The following is a 22,962-nucleotide window of genomic DNA, read 5'->3' as shown; positions in this document are numbered from 1 at the left end:
TATGCATTTAACACAGTCCAACTAATGGGTATCTTTGCCATGAAAAAGTACACATAATTCCTAGGGTTCACTTTTGAAACATTTAACAGAACTTGCCTATCACTACCTTTTCACTAATACCATACTACATTCTCTCAGGTGGTAATGACAAAAGTAATTTTAACACTTCTTCCTCTGTTCTAATCACTCTTCTGAGCAACACGTATTAACTCATTTAATTCTCACAATCACCCATGACTTAAGTGATATTATTATCTTCATTTCACAGAGTAGTTAACTAGAGCACAGAGAGCTTAAGTGACTTGCCCAATCTCACTCTTACTAAATGGTTGAGCCGGGGTTTGAAGCCAGATGGGTCTGACTTCAGGGACAATAATCTTTGCCATTGTGTATTCTGCATCTTTGTGTTGCTAGATTATAAAATTCAAATCAAGTGTGTTCTTCCCTTCTTTCTTTAATACTCACTAATCATATATTATTCTGACTCTTCCCATAAAACCTTATGACTAAGGGCCAATGCATTCCTGATAGGTCCACTACATCTATTTTATGTTTGAACACATGAAAAAAGTGAATAGAGAAAATATTTCATTATATATTGAATTATGACTGAGTTTTCTTTTTTAATTCTTGGGTTTGAACTTCAATGGTGTATGATTCAGGCAAAAAAATGTACTGGGAGAATTCTATTAAGAAAGAATGGCATATTATTAGCTTTAGCAATGCACATCTGTGTATAACACCTGCTTGCATTTATTTATTTTCTTCTCTCTTTGTGGGCTAATAAAGCAAATAATCAAGATAATTTTGAATGTTTTATGTTTTTCTAACTAAAAAAGTCATGAACCATTTAAGTGGAAATTGAAAAAATAAATGAAAATAAAAATGTGCCTTTGGTTTAGCTGCTCTATTTTTTATTTAGTAAATGGAATCCTTGCAAGTTAGATAGGTGGAAAGAGTTTAAGACTAATTTGGACGATTGTCAAATCCTCTATAAATGACAATTTCTATGATGAAAAATATTAATTTAATGACCATTCACGGCACAAACCTCATAACATTACAATGCTAGTTAAGGTTTGGTTACTTGATGATTATAAGCAATGGTAGCAAATACCTGAAACATAAAATATGACAAATACCACATCAAGTTCAAGGTAAAAATGAATTCAGGAAAAGTGAACGCCAATTCCTAAAATGTCAACAAGACATTAATCTACCAAAATCTTGGAATCAAATTTCTAGAACATTTTGACGAGAATCATTATAATTAAAATGGCATGACAGAATGGCTTCGCCATCAAACAGATTGGCCGCTCATCCTAAAGTGGTTTTAATTATGATTTGACTCCTCTGAACAGTGCACATTTAGGGAGATATTTATCACCAGATGTACAATTAGGTGCCCAATTTATGCATTTTTAATTTATTCAATGAAATATATTAAATGCCTGCTATGATCTAGGGATATGGGTATACAGTACTAAAGAAACAGACAAAAGTATCGTAACATTATAGAAGAGCAGAATTGTTTGAAAAAATAGAAACATAACTTCCCAGGAGGGTGGAGCCAGTGAATGCTGGAACAGACCACTGTTAGAGAAAGTAATCTGATATATAACAGTAAAACATGGGATAATCTCCTTTGAAAATGGATTTTGAGAAGCACATGAGTCTGAGTCAGAGCTACAGAAGTAACCCATGTGAGACAAAACCATGGTCACACACCAAGATATTTTTACATATCTGCACATTCATTTTTCACTAAGAAATTGCATCCTTAACATTTTTTACTTCCCCTTTCCACAATTTCACCCCCCACTGATAATTGTTTACTCACAAGGCCATTGCTGAAAGTACAGTAACATAATGTTTAAGTACTAAGCATTAAGAGAGAGAAATAAATACATAAATGATTCTTAGTCAACAAGAGTTAAAAAGCCATCATTTATTTACCACTATACATCTAAATTACTGGGCTCAGTTGCTGGTAGAATTATCTATCCCAACAATGAGAGTGACTCAGATTTTTCATCTGGCCCCATAAATTATTATGTTGCTCTGGGAGAATGACTAAGGGTCTTTGCCTAGTCATTTAATTGTATAGTATAAGTAAAGGAGAGAGGGAGCTTTAATATTCTCATCCAAATATTGTTGGGTTGAGTTTTCCAAGCTAAAATACAGAGAACTTCATGCTTCATACTTACTTATTTCTTAAGAAGGTTCTTTTTCTTTTTTCCATTCTTTTGTTAATTAGAGTTTGGGGGAATCCACAAAAATTTGGAGAATGTCTTATCTGAAGATGCCAGGAAGGAAAAAAAAATCATGAAAGTAGTCTCTTTCCAGAGCAAGTTTCTCCTGTTTTAACAGTTGAGAAAGTCAAATGCATTGTCTGCATCCTTCACCTTGTATTTCTATTGAATCTTTCTTATCAATATGCTCTATGCATCTGCACAGATTTTACCTTCAAATTTAGCAGACTGGTGTGAATCAGAGACAAACTAAAAAACAACAAGCTAAAATACAAACTAAAAAATAAAAAAAACTAAGTACCCACTTCAGAATTAATTATAATATTTAAGCTTGATTAAAAATAAAATAACAGAATAAACACTGTTGAAGACTAAATTAATCATATGGAAGATAAATTCAGAGCAATATCCTAGGACATACAGCCAAAACACTCAGAAAGTTAAAACCAAGAATTCCACAGACAGAATATATTAGGAGTGGAAATTATCCCAGTCACACCGCACCAAAACGTTACCGGCGGCGAATCTATATGGGTCTACAGTACCTCAATTCTTACCTCCTCAGAAGAAAGAATTTGACTGAAGTGCATAAGGCAGAAATTAAAGCAAATTTTAGAGCAGGAGTGAAAGTTTATTAAAAAGCTTTAGAGCAGAAATAAAAGGAAGGAAATTATAGTTGGAAGAGGGACAGGTGGGCTACTTGAGAAAGCCAAGTGTGCATTTGACCTTTTGACTTGGGGTTTCATACGTTGGCATACTTCCAAGGTCTGCCTCTTTTCTCCCCTGATTCTTTGCTTGTAGTGGGCTATCTGCATGTGCAGTGGCCTGATAGCACTTGGGAGGAGAGTGCAAGGTGCGTTTACTGGAGTTGCAGGCATGTTCACTTGAGGTATTCTTCCCTTACCAGCCAAATGTCCCTAGGAGGTCATATACCAGTTAAACTTCACCGTTTTGCCTCTTAGTGTGCATGCTCGAGCTCACTCATGCAACTCCTGAGATCTTACAGGCAAGCTGTTGATCACCAATTTTTTTAGGTATTTTCTATCTACGGGGAGACTGCCTTTCCCTCGTGCTGGCTGCAACCAACTATTATTTTAGAGAGACAGTTAACAACCGCCTGAACATCACCTGATGGTCGCCTGACATTCCTGCTTGCAGGTTCACCATCTCCTGCCCTGCTCATGTCTGTCTGAAAAATAGAGTCAATGAAGGAGAAAGGCAAAAGTAATCTTTTATTACTTTCATGAGTATTTCTTCTCCCCCCTGGCAGAGCATCTGCCCTTTAAACACAAGAGCTTCAGGTGATTTGCTTTAGCCAATTAATTGTTTGTGGAAGCGATGTGTGCCACTCCTGAACAGAAGCTTCAAGTTCATTTTTCTTTTGTCCCTGTGTCATGAGGCTTGCTATGTTCCAGAGAGAGGCTATTTTTTCACCCTAATTCCTGGAGTGAAAACTACAGGCTATTACTGTTTTACAAAATATTTTGCTACTGTATAATGTTCTAGGATCTAATAACAGATTTATCATTATTCTTGCATGGACTTACTCCTAATGGACATATGCAGTGTGAGAAAATAAACATCTTTACACCACAATCTTTAGAGAGATTATATAATTTTATGTGTCCTGACTGATAGACAAGATGAGTACTACTATATCAGAAAACCTTAAGCAGGCAGCACTAGCCTCATGTCCATGTACTAGATGGTGAAAAACTGCTACTAGAAGTTAGAAGGACAGTGACGGGATGCTGTGGCCAAACATTTTTAAAAACTGCATCAGCTATAATTTTGGAAGCAGATAAATTATTGACTCAGTTTGTGTCTCTGGCATATAGGGAAATTGAGTGTTGTATACCTGCTGTGGTACCGTTGGCTACATTTAAAAAGTTTCACAAGACATGAGATGAACTCATGTGAATTGGCTAGATTGCATGCAAAGTTAAGAATCTTTGCTTCATGCAGGGTTGGGATATTAAATAATTAAATGTTTAAAAATTCTAAAATATGTAAATGTACATATGTACATACACACAAACACACATATTCTAATTTAACTGAAACCAGAAGAAAATGATTGACAGCTTTGACCACGTATATATTTCTTATTGGTAATATACTTCATAAACTAAGTGAAAAAAAATTGCAGACTGGCAGGAATATGTCCACCATGTGAAAAAGACAAAAATTTTATTTATTTATTCATATATAAATCAATTTTTCTCACAAATGGAGACCAAAAAATATAATTAAACATAGGAATGCGCTCAGAAAAGAACAGGCAATTCACCAAAGGAAAAAAAAATCACAAAAATCAATAAAGGTATAAAAATGTGTTCAATGTGAACATTTAATAACAAGATAAATACATTGAAATCACATATAAAATAACTTTACAATGTCTGGCAGTCTCAAACTGTAGGGAAAAAATATTCACATTCACTTTTGAAGAAAGTAAAAATTTGTGTCATCTTTTAGAAGGGTATTTGACAATATCTACCATTTTAAATTGTATATACTCTTTTGATAGATAGTATTTCTGGGTATAAATTGTAAGGAAATTCTTGTAAATGTAAATGTATTACATAGAAATTAAGGGCATTGATATTTGTAAAAGGAAAAGATAGTAACCATCAAGATGGAATGTTAAAGTCTAATACATGTAAAAAAATGACACAGTAAAGCACTTAAAAATGGCATAACTCTAGTAGAGTTGCTTAAGGAGACATACTGTCTGTTTCTCCATATCAACAAATCCAATATGTATCTCTATAAATAACTGGAAGGATGGGTAGTTGAAGATAATATGGGAGAGGGAGGTGACTTTATGCTCAGAAAAGACTATTTAAGGAACAACTAAATACAAATATATATATATGTATATATATATATACACACACACACATATGTTTAAAAGTAGCCTTTCATAAATGTGAGACATCTAAACATAATAAAAAAGTACTGAAAATGTGGTACATATTCACCTTGGAATACTATGCAGCCATAAGAAAGAATGAGATTATGTTCTTTGCAGGGACATGGATGGAGCTGGAGGCTATTATCCTTAGCAAACTAACTCAGGAAAATACAGCATGTTCTCACTTATAAGTGGGAGCTAAATGATGAGAACACATGGACACATAGAGGGGAACAACACACAATGGGCCTATTGGAGGGTGGAAGGTAGGAGGAGGGAGAGGATCAGGAAAAATAACCAATGGCTACTAAGCTTAATACCTGGGTGGTGAAATAATCTGTACAACAAACTCCCATAACACAAGTTTCCTATGCAACAAACCTGCACATCCTGTACATGCACCTTGAACTTAAAAAATTTTTTAAACTTATAATTTTTTAACATGTAAATGATAATTTTTCAATTCCCATAATGCATATTTCTTCATTATTCAGTGAACATTTATTAAACACCTGCGATGTGCCAGGGATTTTGTAAGAAGTGGTGGATAAAGTGGGCATGATTTCTGCCCTCATAAAGTTATATTGAGAAAGACAGATGATAAACAGTTGTACAAACAAATGTTAAATTGCAAGTTTGATAAGTGCTGTGATAGAAAATAATAATATGTTTTGAGAGAATAACAAGATGGGTGAAAAGTTTTCTTTGGAAGTATTGTTTGGCAAGACTACTTTAAGAAACTGACATTTGAGCTGTGATTTAAGCAATAAGAAGCCAGATATAATGGTATGGAAATTACTCCATAAAAAGTAAATTTCATATGTAAAGATCATAAAGAAGTTAAGAGCTCAGCATTTTTAAGAAATTGAAGGAAAGTTAGTATGGCTGAGACTGTTAAAAATGGTTGTTCTTACATGAAATAGAAACTCATGGGGAAGATAAACTATGACTTACAAGCCATGGAAAATGAATTTAATCCTATTCTGAGTTCAATAAGAGAAGACGTTTAACTTTTCTGTGCCTCAGTTTCTTCATTTATAAAGTGATGATAACTGTACATCATAAGGCATTCATGAAGATTAAATTAGTTGAAATAAATGATATTAGAATAGTACCCAGCACAAAGGAAGTACTCTATCATTATTATATTGTTATTTATAATAATAAAATATTGAAAGCTCTGAAAATATATGCCCATATTGATCTTTATTCAGGAAAAAATCAGAGTAGATAGGGACCACATAGTAGATATTTGGCCTTTGTGAAACATGTTCTCTATCATAACTATGGAATTCTGCCATTGGAGCATGAAAATAGTAAGAAACAATAAATAAATAAATAAATGTGTTTATTTTCTTTATATATATATTTTTATTATACTTTAAGTTCTAGGGTACATGTGCACAACGTGCAGGTTTGTTACATATGTATACATGTGCCATGTTGGTGTGCTGCACCCATTAACTTGTCATTTACATTAGGTATATCTCCTAATGCTATCCCTCCCCACTCCCCCCACCCCACAACAGGCCCTGGTGTGTGATGTTCCCTGCCCTGTGTCCAGGTGTTCTCATTGTTCCATTCCCACCTATGATTGAGAACATGAGGTGTTTGGTTTTTTGTCCTTGCGATAGTTTGCTGAGAATGATGGTTTCCAGCTTCATCCATGTCTCTACAAAGGGCATGAACTCATCATTTTTTATGGCTGAATAGTATTCCATGGTATATATGTGCCACATTTTCTTAATCTGGTCTATCATTGTTGGACATTTGGGTTGGTTCCAAGTCTTTGCTATTGTGAATAGTGCCGCAATAAACATACGTGTGCATGTGTCTTTATAGCAGCATGATTTATAATCCTTTGGGTATATACCCAGTAATGGGATTGCTGGGTCAAATGGTATTTCTAGTTCTAGATCCTTGAGGAATCGCCACACTGTCTTCCACAATGGTTGAACTAGTTTACAGTCCCACCAACAGTGTAAAAGTGTTCCTATTTCTCCACATTCTCTCCAGCACCTGTTGTTTCCTGACTTTTTAATGATTGCCATTCTAACTGATGTGAGATGGTATCTCATTGTGGTTTTGATTTGCATTTCTCTGATGGGCAGTGATGATGAGCATTTTTTCATGTGTCTGTTGGCTGCATAAATGTCTTCTTTTGAGAAGTGTCTGTTCATATCCTTCACCCACTTGTTGATGGGGTTGTTTTTTTCTTGTAAATTTGTTTGAGTTCTTTGTAGATTCTGGATATTAGCCCTTTGTCAGATGAATAGATTGCAAAAATTTTCTCCCATTCTGTAGGTTACCTTTTCACTTTGATGGTAGTTTCTTTTGCTATGCAGAAGCTCTTTAGTTTAATTAGATCCCATTTGTCAATTTTGGCTTTTGTTGCCATTGCTTTTGGTGTTTTAGACCTGAAGTCCTTGCCCATGCCTATGTCCTGAATGGTAACGCCTAGGTTTTCTTCTAGGGTTTTTATGGTTTTAGGTCTTACATTTAAGTCTTTAATCCATCTTGAATTGATTTTTGTATAAGGTATAAGGAAGGGATCCAGTTTCAGCTTTCTACATATGCCTAGCCAGTTTTCCCAGCACCATTTGTTAAATAGGGAGTCCTTTCCCCATTTCTTGTTTTTGTCAGGTTTATCAAAGATCAGATGGTTGTAGATGTGTAGTATTATTTCTGAAGGCTCTGTTCTGTTCCATCGGTCTATATCTCTGTTTTGGTACCAGTACCATGCTGTTTTGGTTACTGAGTCTGGCCAGGGCAATCAGGCAGGAGAAAGAAATAAAGGGTATTCAGTTAGGAAAAGAGGAAGTCAAATTGTCCCTGTTTACAGATGACATGATTGTATATCTAGAAAACTCCATGGTCTCAGCCCAAAATCTCCTTAAGCTGATAAGCAACTTCAGCAAAGTCTCAGGATACAAAATCAATGCGCAAAAATCACAAGGATTCTTATACACCAATAACAGACAAACAGAGAGCCAAATCATGAGTTAACTCCCATTCACAGTTGCTTCAAAGAGAATAAAATACCTAGGAATCCAACTTACAAGGGATGTGAAGGACCTCTTTAAGGAGAACTACAAACCACTGCTCAACGAAATAAAAGAGAATACAAACAAATGGAAGAACATTCCATGCTCATGGATAGGAATAATCAATATCATGAAAATGGCCATACTGCCCAAAGTAATTTATAGATTCAATGCCATCCCCATCAAGCTACCAATGACTTTCTTCACAGAATTGGAAAAAACTACTTTAAAGTTCATATGGAACCGAAAAAGAGCCTGCATTGCCAAGTCAATCCTAAGCCAAAAGAACAAAGCTGGAGGCATCATGCTACCTGACTTCAAACTATGCTACAAATGTGTTTATTTTCATTAAAACCTTATTTACAAAACAAAAACAAAAACAAAACAGAGTAGGCTCAATTTGGAGTGTGGGCTGTAGATGCCACTCCCTGAATCAGAGAATTAGCCAAGTTGAACATGTGTAGGTATCACCCACAAGTCCCAAAACGGGCTATTGTGTTTACTGAAATAGCACAATGAAAACTATTAGTTAAATCTATGATTTTAAAAAATATATTTGTGATCAGCAGCAAAATAAGTGCCACAAATTATTGCCCTCCCAAACCATACTCTGTAATATCTACTCATTTTTGATCAGCCAGCCCTTAGCTAACTTGTCAACTGACTACAGACCTATGAGAAATCTTAGTCAAAATGGGCTAGGCCTTGCCCAGGTCAGCACACTGGGCAGCCTGGCTGAAATTGATAACTTACAGAACCATTAGTAAGTAAGTGTTGTTTTAATCTCCTATGTTTTGGGATTTTTCCTATGCAGCAAAAATTAACTGACATTTTAGTTAGATGAAGTACTATGATCACAGCATTAAACAGATGACTTGTCTTTCTTATATGATGGTAAAATTTACATATGCAACAGAATTAATATTAGTAGCAACGTTTACTGAGTGCTCACTATCTGTAGGGGTTATGGTTGAGGAATGCACTGGGAACCAGGAAGATCGTGGCGTCTGCCTTCAAAAAAAGTTTACATTTGTCATGTTGGAAAAGTTTTGCCAGTAAGGGTTGATTTTTATATTAACTTCAAAACAGGCTTCTGGAATAATCTGGAGGATAGTCAAAGATTAACCTTTGGCAATGACAAAAATGAACAATCATAGAAACTTCCAAAAAACTTGCTAAACTAGGCTCTAACCAAGATGAGTCAGAGTCTTATGGCATTGCAGATTTTTTAGGAAACAGGTACAATTGTGCTTCCTCTTCTTTTACTGGTTGCTTCCAAAATGAAGAATAATGCTGTGATGCTCTTTTCTCCAGTTTTGCTTTGGTGGGGCAGCTTTTCACTACATGTGGTATGCACACAGCCTTCGTTTTTATGTTATTTATTTTTTTTTCTTATGAGTCTGTTGCAAGTGGGAGCCCTAGGTATGTGGTACTTGAGCATTTTCAAAGGAGCTTTGGCATGCCTCCAGTCCTTTGAAATCTAGTTCTGCTCTGTATGCTGTAATACTTTCCATTCTGAGTCTTAGCTGCAATATTTTGCATCTTGCAAGTGTTTGCTGTTGGTTCCTTTAAATGTACTTAAAAATTCGGTGACTTAATAAGACTGTGTGCATAATATAGCCCTTTAATTCACTTTATCTACATGCTCTTTTAAACTAAAAATTCAGAGAATCCAATGTCTTTACCTTGTAACCTGTCTAAAAACTGTATTATTAAATGTATTTAGTAGAACACATTGAAAATAATGTTTCTCAACTCACAACTACAGTCTCCAACACTTTTCTAACCAGAACTAAGATCTGCTGCACACTTACTGAGCTATAAAATCCCTGCTGTTTCTGAGATGAATAAAACCAAAAGGAGAAAGGCAAAGCAGTGTCTCCATTGTCAAAAACTTATGTTCAATCTGACTGAAATTGGTTCCATGAACATTGGTATTAGAACATGAAGGATAATATTTATCTGTGTTATATAAATTATATAGTGAAAAATATCAAATATCAATTAGCATGTTTGTTTATATTTATGTAGGATATTGTGAACATAAGTTATCCAATCTAGTAAGTTAAAATTATTTTAAAATTATTCCCTACATGGAGTGGTGCTCTAATTTATCATCTAAATCATTCTAATATTTACTCATACCCCCCAAAACACTCTAAATGTCAGGAAACCAACACTTTGACTCAGATTATCAGTGAAAGGGACATGATAGAAAGAAGCAGGCTGGAATCAAATTATACAAACCATCCTCTCAGTGTGTCAATAATTTTGAATATATTTAAGAAAATACTCTCAACAGAGAACTGATAAATTATTCATGAGTTGAAATATTTCAACTGTTTTCCCATTTTTTATGTTTTATAAAAATTTAATATCTTAATTTTTTACTTTAGTTCACCACAAATAACATGGTGTATGCTCATACTTACAATGGGCAAATCCAGCCTGTCATATTTTCTAATTGTGGTGGAACATGAAAAAATATTAATGAAATGTCATACTTAAAACCTAACTGTTTATGTCACATGCATTGTTGCATATTCTCAACTTTCTGGTTTTAGTTGTTTTAGTTTTACACCAATAGACAATCTTGATTTTAAAATAAAAATTTTTAACCGAAGTTTATGGATTCCAGTGTTATAGGATGCCCTTGTAATTTTGAAAATTACAAGCCAGAGAAAGAGAGCCAAGCAAAGAGCAGCATTTTCCTAGGAGGGATAAATAGAGATCAATATCTGAGGCTGCCAAGGCAGCTGAAACTTGGGGGAGCATTACAAAAGTAGAGGAACCCACAGAGAAGGAGTCACAAAATCTGCATAAAAATTTACTTCTGCTTCTTAGTCACCTCCTAAATTGCAAATTCACAAGGTGTAATTCTGAGGACCAACCTGAGCAGTGCTGGGAGGCAGTGACTTCAGAGATTGTTCAATGCTGAGGAGACACCTGGGAGACTGGAGCAAGAAGAGAGAAGAATTTAGGTGAATATCCTAGGCATTCAGTTGAGGCACTAAAGAGCACATCCTTACTCCCAGAACAATGCCCAAGGAGTAAATGCCATGCCCAATAGGTAAGGGCAAACCTGGAACAGACCAGCCCAACAAAGTCTAAAACCAAGCCAGCATTGGATCAAGATCATCATCTAGGAAGTTAACTGCTTGCTAGAACAGAACTTAACACCTCTGCTATGTAGAATTTACATATATATATTTAAATATATATATATATAAATTTGAGGGAGCATTACAAAACTAGAGGGATCCGCAGAGAAGGCATCACTACATATATAGTGACTATATATATATAGTTATGTATAAAATTAATAAATTATCTCAAACTTGTAATGTGTGACTGGGTTTTTATTTACTATCTAGAATTTGTTAAACAAATCTCTGTTAATAACTTTTCCATATTGAAGGGAGGAAGGGAGGGAGGGAGGGAGGAAGGAAGGAAGGAAGGAGAGAGAGAGGGAGGGAGGGAGGGAAGGAGGGAAGGGAGGGAAGGAGGGAAGGGAGGAATGAAGGAAGGGAGGAATGAGGGAAGGGAGGAAAGAAGGAAGGAAGGAAGGGAGGGAGGGAAGGAAGGAGGGAGGGAGGGAAGGAGGGAAGGGGGAATGAGGGAAGGGAGGAAAGAAGGAAGGAAGGAAGGAAAGGGAAGGAAGGGAAGGAAGGAAAGGGAAGGAAGGGAAGGAAGGAAAGGAAGGGAGGGAAGAAACTATTTGATATAATGGGTAGACAGAAATGTATCCTCTATTTATTTATAAGTAAACTTGACATAAATACAAAATCATGATTATCCTTCTACCCTCTAGACTTTAAGCTCTGTGTAGGAAAAGATGTCTTTTTTCTTTCCTACTCAGCAACTTAGCTTATAATAGAAATGAAAAATATATAGTGAATAAGTGTTATGTCTTGTTGAATTCTAGTTTTCCAAAGGAGAAAAGCTTCCTCATAAAATTATTGGATTATTAAACTTAATAACAGAAATGAAAAAATAGTTTCTGTACAATAATATCCAACCAGTTTTAGACTTCTAAGCACTGTTGTGAAACAAATATTAAGATAAATACATTTCTCTATGTGATAGAGAAAGCTAAAGATTTATAATTTCGGACTCCAAATGATATCCATAACAACCCCTTTAAGACACTTGCATATTTGTCCTTGCTACAGATTTGAAAAAGCAAAACTACAAGAAGACGATGAGGATGACAGAGCTCCAGACACAATAGCTGCAGGAGAGAGAGAGACTGACTCACAACCAGGGAAAGAAAAAAAAGTAAAACTACATTTTTTTAAAAAAATGCAACCTTTCATGGTCAACAAAACAGTCTCTGGAGTCAGGCACATTTAAATTGACCTGGTTCACATTCCACTTCCTCTCCCAATAATATTACCTTAGGCAAGCAAGCTCTTCTCTACCCTTTAGACTAATTTTAAGATTTAAGAAATATAATCCACATAAAATGTTTAGCAGAATCCCTGGCATAAACTAAACCTTAGTCAAGGATAACTTTTATGATTGCTACTATACTGCTGAATATGGTTAAAAACAATTTAGAAAAACATATTTTATTACCGCCTATATTATCTGTTTAAGTCAACTTGGAACAATGCATTTCAGAAAGATATCCAAGATGCAAGACATTTAAAATAGATGAAAACCTTTTGTGTTTAATAGAGCATGTTTTGGTTACTTGGAAAATCTATCCATGTGGGATATCATCTCCCCCAGAGACAGTAATAAAAACAAGAAGAGACTATCTAGCTTACATTTCATACCTAATTACAGTCACAAGTTTATAGTAAAGAATGTTTCCTTTATAGTTGATATTGTCCTTGAAAATAAATGTTTCAGCTTTGCCATTTTGATAAACAATATAGAAAAATATGGAGACTCATTCAACTTCTTCAGGGAATCAATTTCCTTTATCATTATTACTCATTTTTACATGGCCCCTGTGAAGTGGGGATACGTGATGTGGCAAATTGGCTCACACAGTGAGAACTGACCAAGGATTTTGGCGTATCTTTCTCCTGTTTTCAGAAGAAATGCTCTATGTTCTTCCCCTTAAGCCACCCAGTTACTTTGCAGCCACTCCCCTTGGCTCCTAACAACAACAAGATGTCATAATTCCCAAAGAGGCAGCTGCATTTAGTTACTGTGTTGTAGACATGCACACATATCAAGTTGACACCTAATTAAATAATAAAATCATTTTTTAAAAATATTCAAGTTCCATGTGTTTGAAAGAGACCAAAAGTAAAATGACTGCGCATTATATTGGCATAAACGAAGAGGTCAATAGAAGGGATGCCATGGACGGTAAATACAGGCACATGCATAATGGGAGAGTGTCCCAGACTTCATCCTGTGAGTCACTGACGGGTAACAGGTAAACAGCAGGCCCACCTGTTAAATTGTTCATTCTCTAATATTAGGTGAAATCTTCACGTAGTATGTCCTGCTTAAGGTCATTGTCTCCCAAAAGGTTTTAGTTTTATATTATCATTTATTTAGAAAGCAATTTAAAGCAAATACCCTGTTACATGAAAAAGACACCGAAAAAATATTCACTGAATCATTTATGTGAAGTTCAATGACAAAGGGACACATGATTTCTCAGTTATGTTTTTCACATAATTAAATTAAATAAGCATCAAAATATATAAACACATAAATACATATAATATAATAAGTAATTTATATTTGTGCCTGTGACATAATTTTTATATACTCATATTTTTCATCTTTTTCATTTTAATAAAGCCTCATCAGCTATTTTCCTTTTACTTTTAGTTGCTTATTCTTTGTGAAATGTATTACTTATCTCTGCTTATTTTTATTTTTTTAAGTACTCAGTTATAAAACCAAAGATAAGTCAACATTTATTTCTTTTATATTTCCCATCATTTCACACAAGGAATGTACTACTTAGGCAAAAGTATATTAGAAAATGGTGTGATTACACCCATCTCATGTTGAATAACTAGGTCTCAGAGCATCTTTAATGGTATCTTCTTCCCAGCAGAACAAAAATACGAAATTATATTTATGGGCTCCAGATGTGTTGTCAAATAAAAAGCATCTCTAGAACTATTTGATGTATCATTTACTTGTTTCCACATTTATCAAGCAGAGCAAAACTTGACCTCACATTAATATATATTCTTTCTGAAACTGTTGAAGCCATCTGTACAGCTGCTCATTTTACTCATGCTGTTTACTAGCAAGATGTCGCAGACAGGAAATATACTGACAGTAAAGACCCACAGAATCTCTCTAAATGCATCAATACAGACATTTCAAGAAAAGCTCCTTGGGACCTACTAGTGCCACAGTGTGAAGTTTAAGCTATATAGTCAAATGAAGGGAAGTTTGCATATTTGATAGTTTCACCTTTTCAATGTAGATATGACCTGAGATTGAAGCTTATCTTACTTAAATGACCCCCATTTAAGTAAGATAAGTCTTAGATCACTCAGGAAAAGAATGTCAACTATTTGAGTTTTTCGAATATTAGAATTTATTGGTAAAACACAACAGGAAAAAGCAGAAATGTACTTTAAAAATTCTATCTGATCACTTCATTAGTATGCTGAAAAGAAGGAAAAGTACTTGGCATCAAATTTTGGGAATTCAAATGTTTTCTCACATATTTTTATCTTTATAAATTAGATTTCTCATTAGGAATTCACAAGAGAATTTTACTTCAATAGTAGGTAATCACCAGAGAATAATGTATACACAGTTTATGAATAGGATTGCAACAGTAGGTAACCACCAGAGAAAAATGCATATATAGTTTATGCATAGGATTGAATTTGGTTCCAATCACCACATTCTTTTCTAAATTTGCCATATTTTTAAACAAAACTATTTCCTCCATAGACTCATGTCTAATTTACCTGTAGTCAAATTTTATGTGCAATAAAAGAAATTTGAGCTTGATAAGATACATTTTATAACTTTTTTCTCTCCATATATATCAATATATTGTTTAAAATGTATTTTTCAAATCAAAATCACAACAAGATACCACATTCACAATCACTAGGATGGCTAGAATTGAAAAACTGGAAAATGTAAAAATGTGGAGAAACCAGAACCCTCATATCTGCTGATGAGAATGTAAAATGGTGAAGCCACTGTGAAAAACAGCTTATTAGTTCTTCAATAAGTTAAACATAGAATTACCATGTGACAGCAATTTCCCTCCTAAGTATATATCCAAATGAATTTAAAAGAAGTGTTCAACAAAAACTTATATAAGAATGTTCACAGCAGCACTATTTATAATAGTCAAAAGATAAGAACAACTCAATTGTCCATCAATGCATAAACGAAATGTGGTATATCCATTTTGGAATGGTTACATGGAATATCATTTAACCATAAAAAGGAATGAAGTACTGATCCACGTTGCAACATAGATAAACCTTGAAAACATGCTAAGTGAAAGAAGGCGGACACAAAACGACATGTATAGAATGATTCCATTTATATGCAATACCCAAAATAGACAAGTGCTAGAGACAGAAAACAGAATAATGGCTGTCGAGGGCTAGGGATTAGACAGAATGTGGGATGACTGCTAAATAGGTATTGAATTTTCTTTTGGGGTGATGAAAAATGCTCTGGAACTAGATAGTGTTGCATAATGCTGTTAATGTCCTAAATGCCACGCAATTGTACATTTTAAAATGGTTAAAATAGTAAATTTTATTTTATAGGTATTACACCAAAAATTTTCTAACTACATTGTTGACAACGACTGACCATATGGTCTACTGTTTATTTAAGAATTTATGTTTATTGAATTTCATAGAGATTTTCTAATGAAAGCTTTAAAGCATGAATATCTGTTCTCTCATGAAATCATAAGATTAATGACAGTACATGAATTTGTAAATGGATATAAGCCTATAATGTCAAAGATAATTAATTGTGAACTAACATCAGCAAGTAATATTTGTCAATAATATTTAGGAAAGTAGGATGAAGAACGATTAATGATGTGGCAGAGAATGTTCATCGTTCCTAGAATTCATTCTCCTTACTTTGTTTATAAAATTTGTAGATGGGAGCAGGAAAATGGAGCCTATTCCCAAAACTTCTTACTCCTAAAGTTAAATTGTGAGTCATTCCTTCATTTTCCCAAAGTATAACAGTGATCTTTGTCCAGATGAGGTTCCAGAAGCTGGATTTATCAATTATTATTAACTATTAAAGCCAATCTCTAAAATGGAGATCAGTATATGTGGAAATATTAAGATTATGCACAATTTCTACCAAGATACCAATAGTGAGAGAATTTAACTTCTAAGCACTGCTTCTGCAAATTTTGAAACATATTTTATTTATACATCAAAAATCTTCATTATCTTAATAAGATTCTTATACTGTCACACTCTGTGCAAGTTATCGTAATAAAGAATCTGCTTTAGAAACAAAAAAAATTTACAAGAAAAAAACAAACCAACCCATCAAAAAGTGGGTGAAGGACATGAACAGACACTTCTCAAAAGAAGACATTTATGCAGCCAAAAAACACATGAAAAAATGCTCACCATCACTGGCCATCAGAGAAATGCAAATCAAAACCACAATGAGATACCATCTCACACCAGTTAGAATGGCAATCATTAAAAAGTCAGGAAACAACAGGTGCTGGAGAGGATGTGGAGAAATAGGAACACTTTTACACTGTTGGTGGGACTGTAAACTAGTTCAACCACCGTGGAAGTCAGTGTGGCGATTCCTCAGGGATTTAGAACTAGAACTACCATTTGACCCAGCCATCCCATGACTGGGTATATACCCAAAGGACTGTAAATCATGCTGCTATAAAGACATATGCACATGTATGTTTATTGCGGCACTATTCACAATAGCAAAGACTTGGAACCAACCCAAATGTCCAACAATGATAGACTGGATTAAGAAAATGTGGCACATATACACCATGGAATACTATGCAGCCATAAAAAATGATGAGTTCATGTCCTTTGTAGGGACATGGATGAAACTGGAAATCATCATTCTCAGTAAACTATCGCAAGGACAAAAAACTAAACACCACATGTTCTCACTCATAGGTGGGAATTGAACAATGAGAACACATGGACACAGGAAGGGGAACATCACACTCTGGGGCCTGTTGTGGGGTGGGGGGAGGCGGGAGGGATAGCATTAGGAGATATACCTAACGTAAATGACGAGTTAATGGGTGCAGCACACCAGCATGGCACATGTATACATATGTAACTAACCTGCACATTGTGCACATGTACACTAAAACTTAAAGTATAATAATAATAAAAAAAAACCAGAAGAAAGAATCCATGTCAACTTTAAATGAAGGCCCCTTTCCTTGCAAACATTAAAGCACTTGCAACATCAAGCAAAGTATATTAGGAAAGGAAGCCTAGGGATTCTGGAATGTAAACAATTTTGTTATTTAAAATATGCATGTGTTTGAATTCTTCAAAGAGCAGTCCTTATTCTATCTTCAATATGCATTATCATTTTCTGCAATTAAAAAAATTCAGTTACTTTTTTAGTAATACACTGGTATTTGGGTATGGGGGTGTACAGTGAGATGAGGAACAAAGAATGGGAAATAATGTATTAAGAAGTTTGATATTTGACAGGCTCAAGAAGAGGCTATTCAAGATGTAGTGCAAGACTATGTGGTAATCTTGATGTACGGAGACTGGACCCAACTGTAGTCAGACCCTTGAATAGATTAAAATTTCTTCTAACTCAACCTTCTCCCTCAGAAATTCCTTCTAACCCAGTCATCTCCCTGGGCAAATCCTATGGGACAGTAGTTTCAGGGGACACTACAATGAAGCATACAATGACTCAGACTATAAAAAATTTCTGTTCTCTTCCATCTTAATCTCACTGTCATTCTCCTTTAGCTAGTTACCTAATCTCAGTTTCTTATCATATGCTCATACCTTGCACTCCACACCATTCAAGTATTAAAACTTTTTAAGGAATTAATATTTTGGATTTCAATTTCAAAATTAATCTTAAAATACTGCATCCAACTTTAATTGGTTAGTCTCCTATGAGTGAAAAAATCTAGTGTCATGTGCCAAAATGAGCAAAATGAAATAGAAACTCTCAAAAAACTTCATAATTTTCTGTTTTAGATTATTAATTGCTGCCCTTCATTTTAACAAAAATATCTATAAAGATATTTAAATTTAGGTGAAATATACACATTTAGATTACCAGTACTTTATTTAGGTTTAAGTGTTTTTATGTAACTTTACTCTCATTTTAGAAAACAAAAATCCTCCTCTTAAGATGCATTTGTCTGCAGTTTTCATTTCTTGTAATGTCTGTTTTGTTTTGGTTTCAGGCTAATGCATATATCCTAAAGTGAGTTGGGAATTATTCCAACCTCCTCTCTTTTCTCAAATAATTTCTGTAGAATTGATATTTTTTTATCCATAATTGTTTGATATAAATAGCCCACGAAGCCATCTGGACCTAATGTGTTTTTTTAGGGAGACAATTTTTATATATAATTTTCATGTATGAGATTGATAAATGTTCAGATTATCTATTGGTAATTTGTATCTTCAAGGGATTGGTCTATTTCATCTAAATTGTCAAATTTATGTGCATGGAGTTGTTTGTGGTAGTATCTTTTCCAGTGTCTGCAGGGTCAGTAATGGTATTCCCTTTTTCATTGTTTATGAGGTTATTTGTGTTTTCTCTCCTTTTCTCCTGCTAAGTTTGTTAAGAACTGTATCAGTATCAGTGATTGTACAGTGTAATCATTTCCTGTTCGTCTTTGCTCTTTATTGTATCCTTAGTATAAACTCACTTTTAGCTGACTAAATAAAGCCCATTTCTGTTACTTACAACTTTAAGAATTCCAATGTGCCCTTATTTTAAGCAATACATAACAAGATAAACAAAAATCTGTAAACACTTTTGGAGCACAACCACTGAATGAATGAAGTGGAAGAAGATTCCTGAAGAAATAAAAGCACAATGAAACTAAATAAATTTTATAAAGTAAAAGAAAAATATTTTGGGTACAATGACTGATGCCTCCCCTTATTTTCCATTTTCCAAGCATAAAGACAAATTAAATTATTCTGGAAATGCTTTTCCTAACAAAGGGGACAGTTTTTTAGGTTGGTTTGTTAACAGAATCCTGTGATCTTCAAAGCATGCACAAATAAATTCTTAGCAATGGTATATCTATGTTTTCCTAGGAACGAGAAAAAAATTCATGGTTTCCTTAGGAACTGAAAAAGTCCATGAATCCTAGAATATATATTTTCCTATCTTCTATTATTTTCATTGTTATCACTATAATTATCTTGATTCTGAAATCCCTTCAGCTGACACCTTAATCGGTCAAGTTTTTAGGTCCTGGTCCATGTTGTTAGAGGAGAATATCTTTAGAATAAAGTCATTTTGGTTAAAGTATATCATATATTTTAAAACAAAATTAATATTGTTTGGAAGTTTTAAATTTCTCCTAAAATATTAGAAAAATTTGGCATATCACAAAATCAACAATGGCAATATTTTAATTGATAAATACCTACCCAGTTAGTTTGATAAACAGTTAAATTTCATATTGACAATTTACTTTCCATCCAAACTAAACAGAAAATGTAATTAACTTTAGATTCTACTTTTTCTAATCTTTATGTGTTGATGACAGCTGAAAACATTTTCATAAATTATGTATTATCTTCTTATTGTAATATTCTTCTGCTATAAAAATATAACTTCATATCCCTAGCATCTGCCTTTCAAAACATCTTCAAATCATTATGATTTTCATAAACTAGATTAAAACAACTCAAATGATTTCCAAATACATTAATTATAAATATACGCAAAACATTTTATTTTTGTATACCAACATGTGCATTTAAGATCAACTTCATAAACTTTTAGTAACATTAAACAGAGAAAATATAAAATGAGATTACTTTTTAATTAGAAATATAAAAACTAAAACTACACAGCAGGTTTACAGAGTTTGTTCAATTATCTCAGAAATATACAAATTGTACTTTTTTCATTAACGTTTCAAAAAGCCATATGAAATGATTTTCTAAAAGCAATATGCATTTAAGTCTGGCATGCAACTATTCAGTTATTATCTGCTCCTGCTAATAAAACAAATGAATTTTATGAAATCTGAATAATGAGTTCAGTCAATTGTAAAAGGTGCATAATTTTCTTCTATATAGGAGAAAATATATTACTTCACAGAGGATGCTGTATGAAATGGTGGATAAGGAAACATCCAGACTCTGGAATCACACAGATCTACATTCACCTCCCAGCTTTGTCACATAGTGACCTTGTTATTTAAACACTGTAACCCTTCTTAACCACATATTTTCTTTCCACAAAATAGGAATAACAATTATAAAAGTTTTAAAAGTGGTAAAGTTATGATGGCCAAATTTAAAGCAGTATTGAAAAACTCTTCCTGATGTTTGCTTTTGATTTCCATTTAAGGAAGTAGTTGATCTAACATGCTGGTGTTGTGATGGACTGATTTTTATTTGAAATATTTATGCAATTCATATAATTTCAAAATTGGTAAGATTAATACCACTTAAAGATTTCTACATCTGCATCTGTCCTCCTGCCTAACAATTTGCTGTTGTTGTTATTGTTGTTTTAATAAGGTGTTTTCAATAATATACTTACAAGAGCTTATACCTCAAATTATTAAGATTGTCAGTTAAACAATTCTCAGAGTGAAATCTGCCACATATATCTCTTTGTCCTATTAAAAGGTGTGAAGTTTATAAGTCTAAAGCCATGAAAAATCCCGTATCCAAAATAACTATGATTTCTCTGGCATAAAAATTAGTGATCTGTTCACTAATAACACCTGAAAATACTACCAAATCACAGAAGACTAATCTAAGATGTTAATTGAATGAGACTGCTATCCAAATGTGGCAACTTTTCAAATATTGACACAATTGATTTGTCATGGCTTTTACATCACAGGAAAGGAAGGAACAAGTAGAACCTTCTGATCATCAGGACTTTCTGTGCTGATATCACAGTTTCTTATACCATATTATTTTTTACATTATCAAAGGCCTTGACTCCTCTTTTCGCCAACAAGACCAGGAACAGAGAGTACCTTCATACTGTCCCTGAGCTTGTCAGTGTTCGTGTTGTTCACTTTGAAGATCTAAGGAAGGACTCTGGCCATTTGTCTATGCTGCTATAGACCAAAATGTAGTTTATCATCCTGACTGGAAGTTTGCGGTGAGTGTGAAATTGCCTCACGGCCTAAGTATGAACCTTTTTTCTATTAATGATATGGAGGAACTTCCTTTGAGGCAAGGTAATGCCTAAGCTATATTTAGGGTATTTTATTTTTAAAGCACTTTAAATAGTCTCATTGATTTAATGACTTATATGCCATCTTAGTCCAAAATGAACTAGGACTGTGAACTCTTTAGCAAAGTTACCCATATCAAGTTTTACTCACCAAAGCCAAAGAATGCATTGGGTTTCTAGGCCCATAGTATGCCTTAGATTCTATTTAAATATTTCTAGAAAACCTATAGCCGCCTACATTCCCAAACTCAGGCTTTTGTACTTTCTAAGGGACCATAATTGTTTAGATTCTCATGGAAGAAAGGGTTGATTGTTTTTTGATCAGTACTTCCTGGGTAAATATGATCTATTGCAAGATGTTAGAAATAAATTGTTTTCTTAAATAAGTATCTGTAGTCTTATCTTTTAGTGATTCACAGTGATTTTCAAGCAATATAATTTGGCATACTGTTGCACTGATATTCTTCATATGTATCCCTTCAATTTCTAACAAATGTGTAAAGCTTATTTTTTGTTAATAAGTGTCATGATATCTTTTAGTTTAAAAAGGCAGTAAACAGGATAATATACAGCGAAGGAAGTGCAAAAGAAAGATCACATTTTAAGATAACATAAGAGAATATTGCCTCATACAAATAGAAGAATTGGAGAGAGCAGCAAGCTTATGTAAATTAGAATACTGAAGGGAGAGAAACAGCACATCAACTGAGAATGCTTTCATAGACACTGAAAGATATTACAGAAGTGGTCATATTGTTAGAGTTTATGTCTCATTAGTGTTGTTTTGAATCTTCATATCTCTACAATCTTAGAATGCAAAAGTGAATTGTAAGTACCAACTGGATCTAAAGATTTTATACAACCAAGCCAATGTGTGCCCCTCAGTAACTGCTCTGCTACAATTTCTGAGATATATAACATAATGGCAACTTCAACCACAAGAATATTCTTTAATCTTGGCTATCATCCTTGCACTGAAACCTTGGCTTTGAATTAAAAATCAGAATAAAGTCCTCACAGGTACCTCTTCTCCATGAAACAGAAAGTTTAACAGTGCTAACTAGGAAGCTTACCACTTTCAGTCCCCAGTTCCTGTTAATGCTTTAGAAACAAAGGAACCTGCAATAAAAGAGGCAAATGTATCAAGCAGACTTGGAATTGTAAAGATCAACCTCCTCAACGCACAGATTCAGCTGTAGGCATTCAGTAAAATAATCTCTACCTCTTTTGCATCTATAAAAAATATCTTGCAGCTTTACCCATTGAAATGCTGGCTCACTCTTACCTGTTTCTCATTATGAACCCCAAACTTCAAATCTAGTTATTACTCTACATCTGCACCCTCAGACCTAATGCTTAGAGCAACTCTTGCTTCCAAGACCCTTAGCCA

General features: G+C 34.0%; 1 long non-coding RNA gene across 1 annotated transcript in view, besides 1 other annotated feature; it reads right to left on the bottom strand.

Moving 5' to 3' along the window:
- Positions 1-22,693, bottom strand: part of LOC105373790 (uncharacterized) — a 104,710-nt gene extending 82,017 nt beyond the window's left edge. The window contains exons 1-2 of the long non-coding RNA XR_923685.3: positions 22,646-22,693; positions 11,105-11,167 (exon numbers count right to left, since the gene is read on the bottom strand). This is a non-coding gene — a long non-coding RNA (uncharacterized LOC105373790). The remainder of the gene's footprint in view (positions 1-11,104; positions 11,168-22,645) is intronic.
- Positions 3,270-3,770: an enhancer, noted in NCBI's record as "H3K27ac hESC enhancer chr2:189538838-189539338 (GRCh37/hg19 assembly coordinates)". NCBI's record gives its function as "activates a minimal SCP1, AML or CMV promoter by ChIP-STARR-seq in primed H9 embryonic stem cells {active_cell/tissue: H9 hESC(primed)}" and the evidence as "EXISTENCE:reporter gene assay evidence [ECO:0000049][PMID:30033119]".
- Positions 22,694-22,962: the final 269 nt, after the last annotated feature.

The sequence above is a fragment of the Homo sapiens genome, chromosome 2 (assembly GCF_000001405.40).
Source record: "Homo sapiens chromosome 2, GRCh38.p14 Primary Assembly".
Taxonomy (NCBI): domain Eukaryota; kingdom Metazoa; phylum Chordata; class Mammalia; order Primates; family Hominidae; genus Homo; species Homo sapiens.
This window is presented reverse-complemented; position numbering and strand designations above follow the sequence as displayed.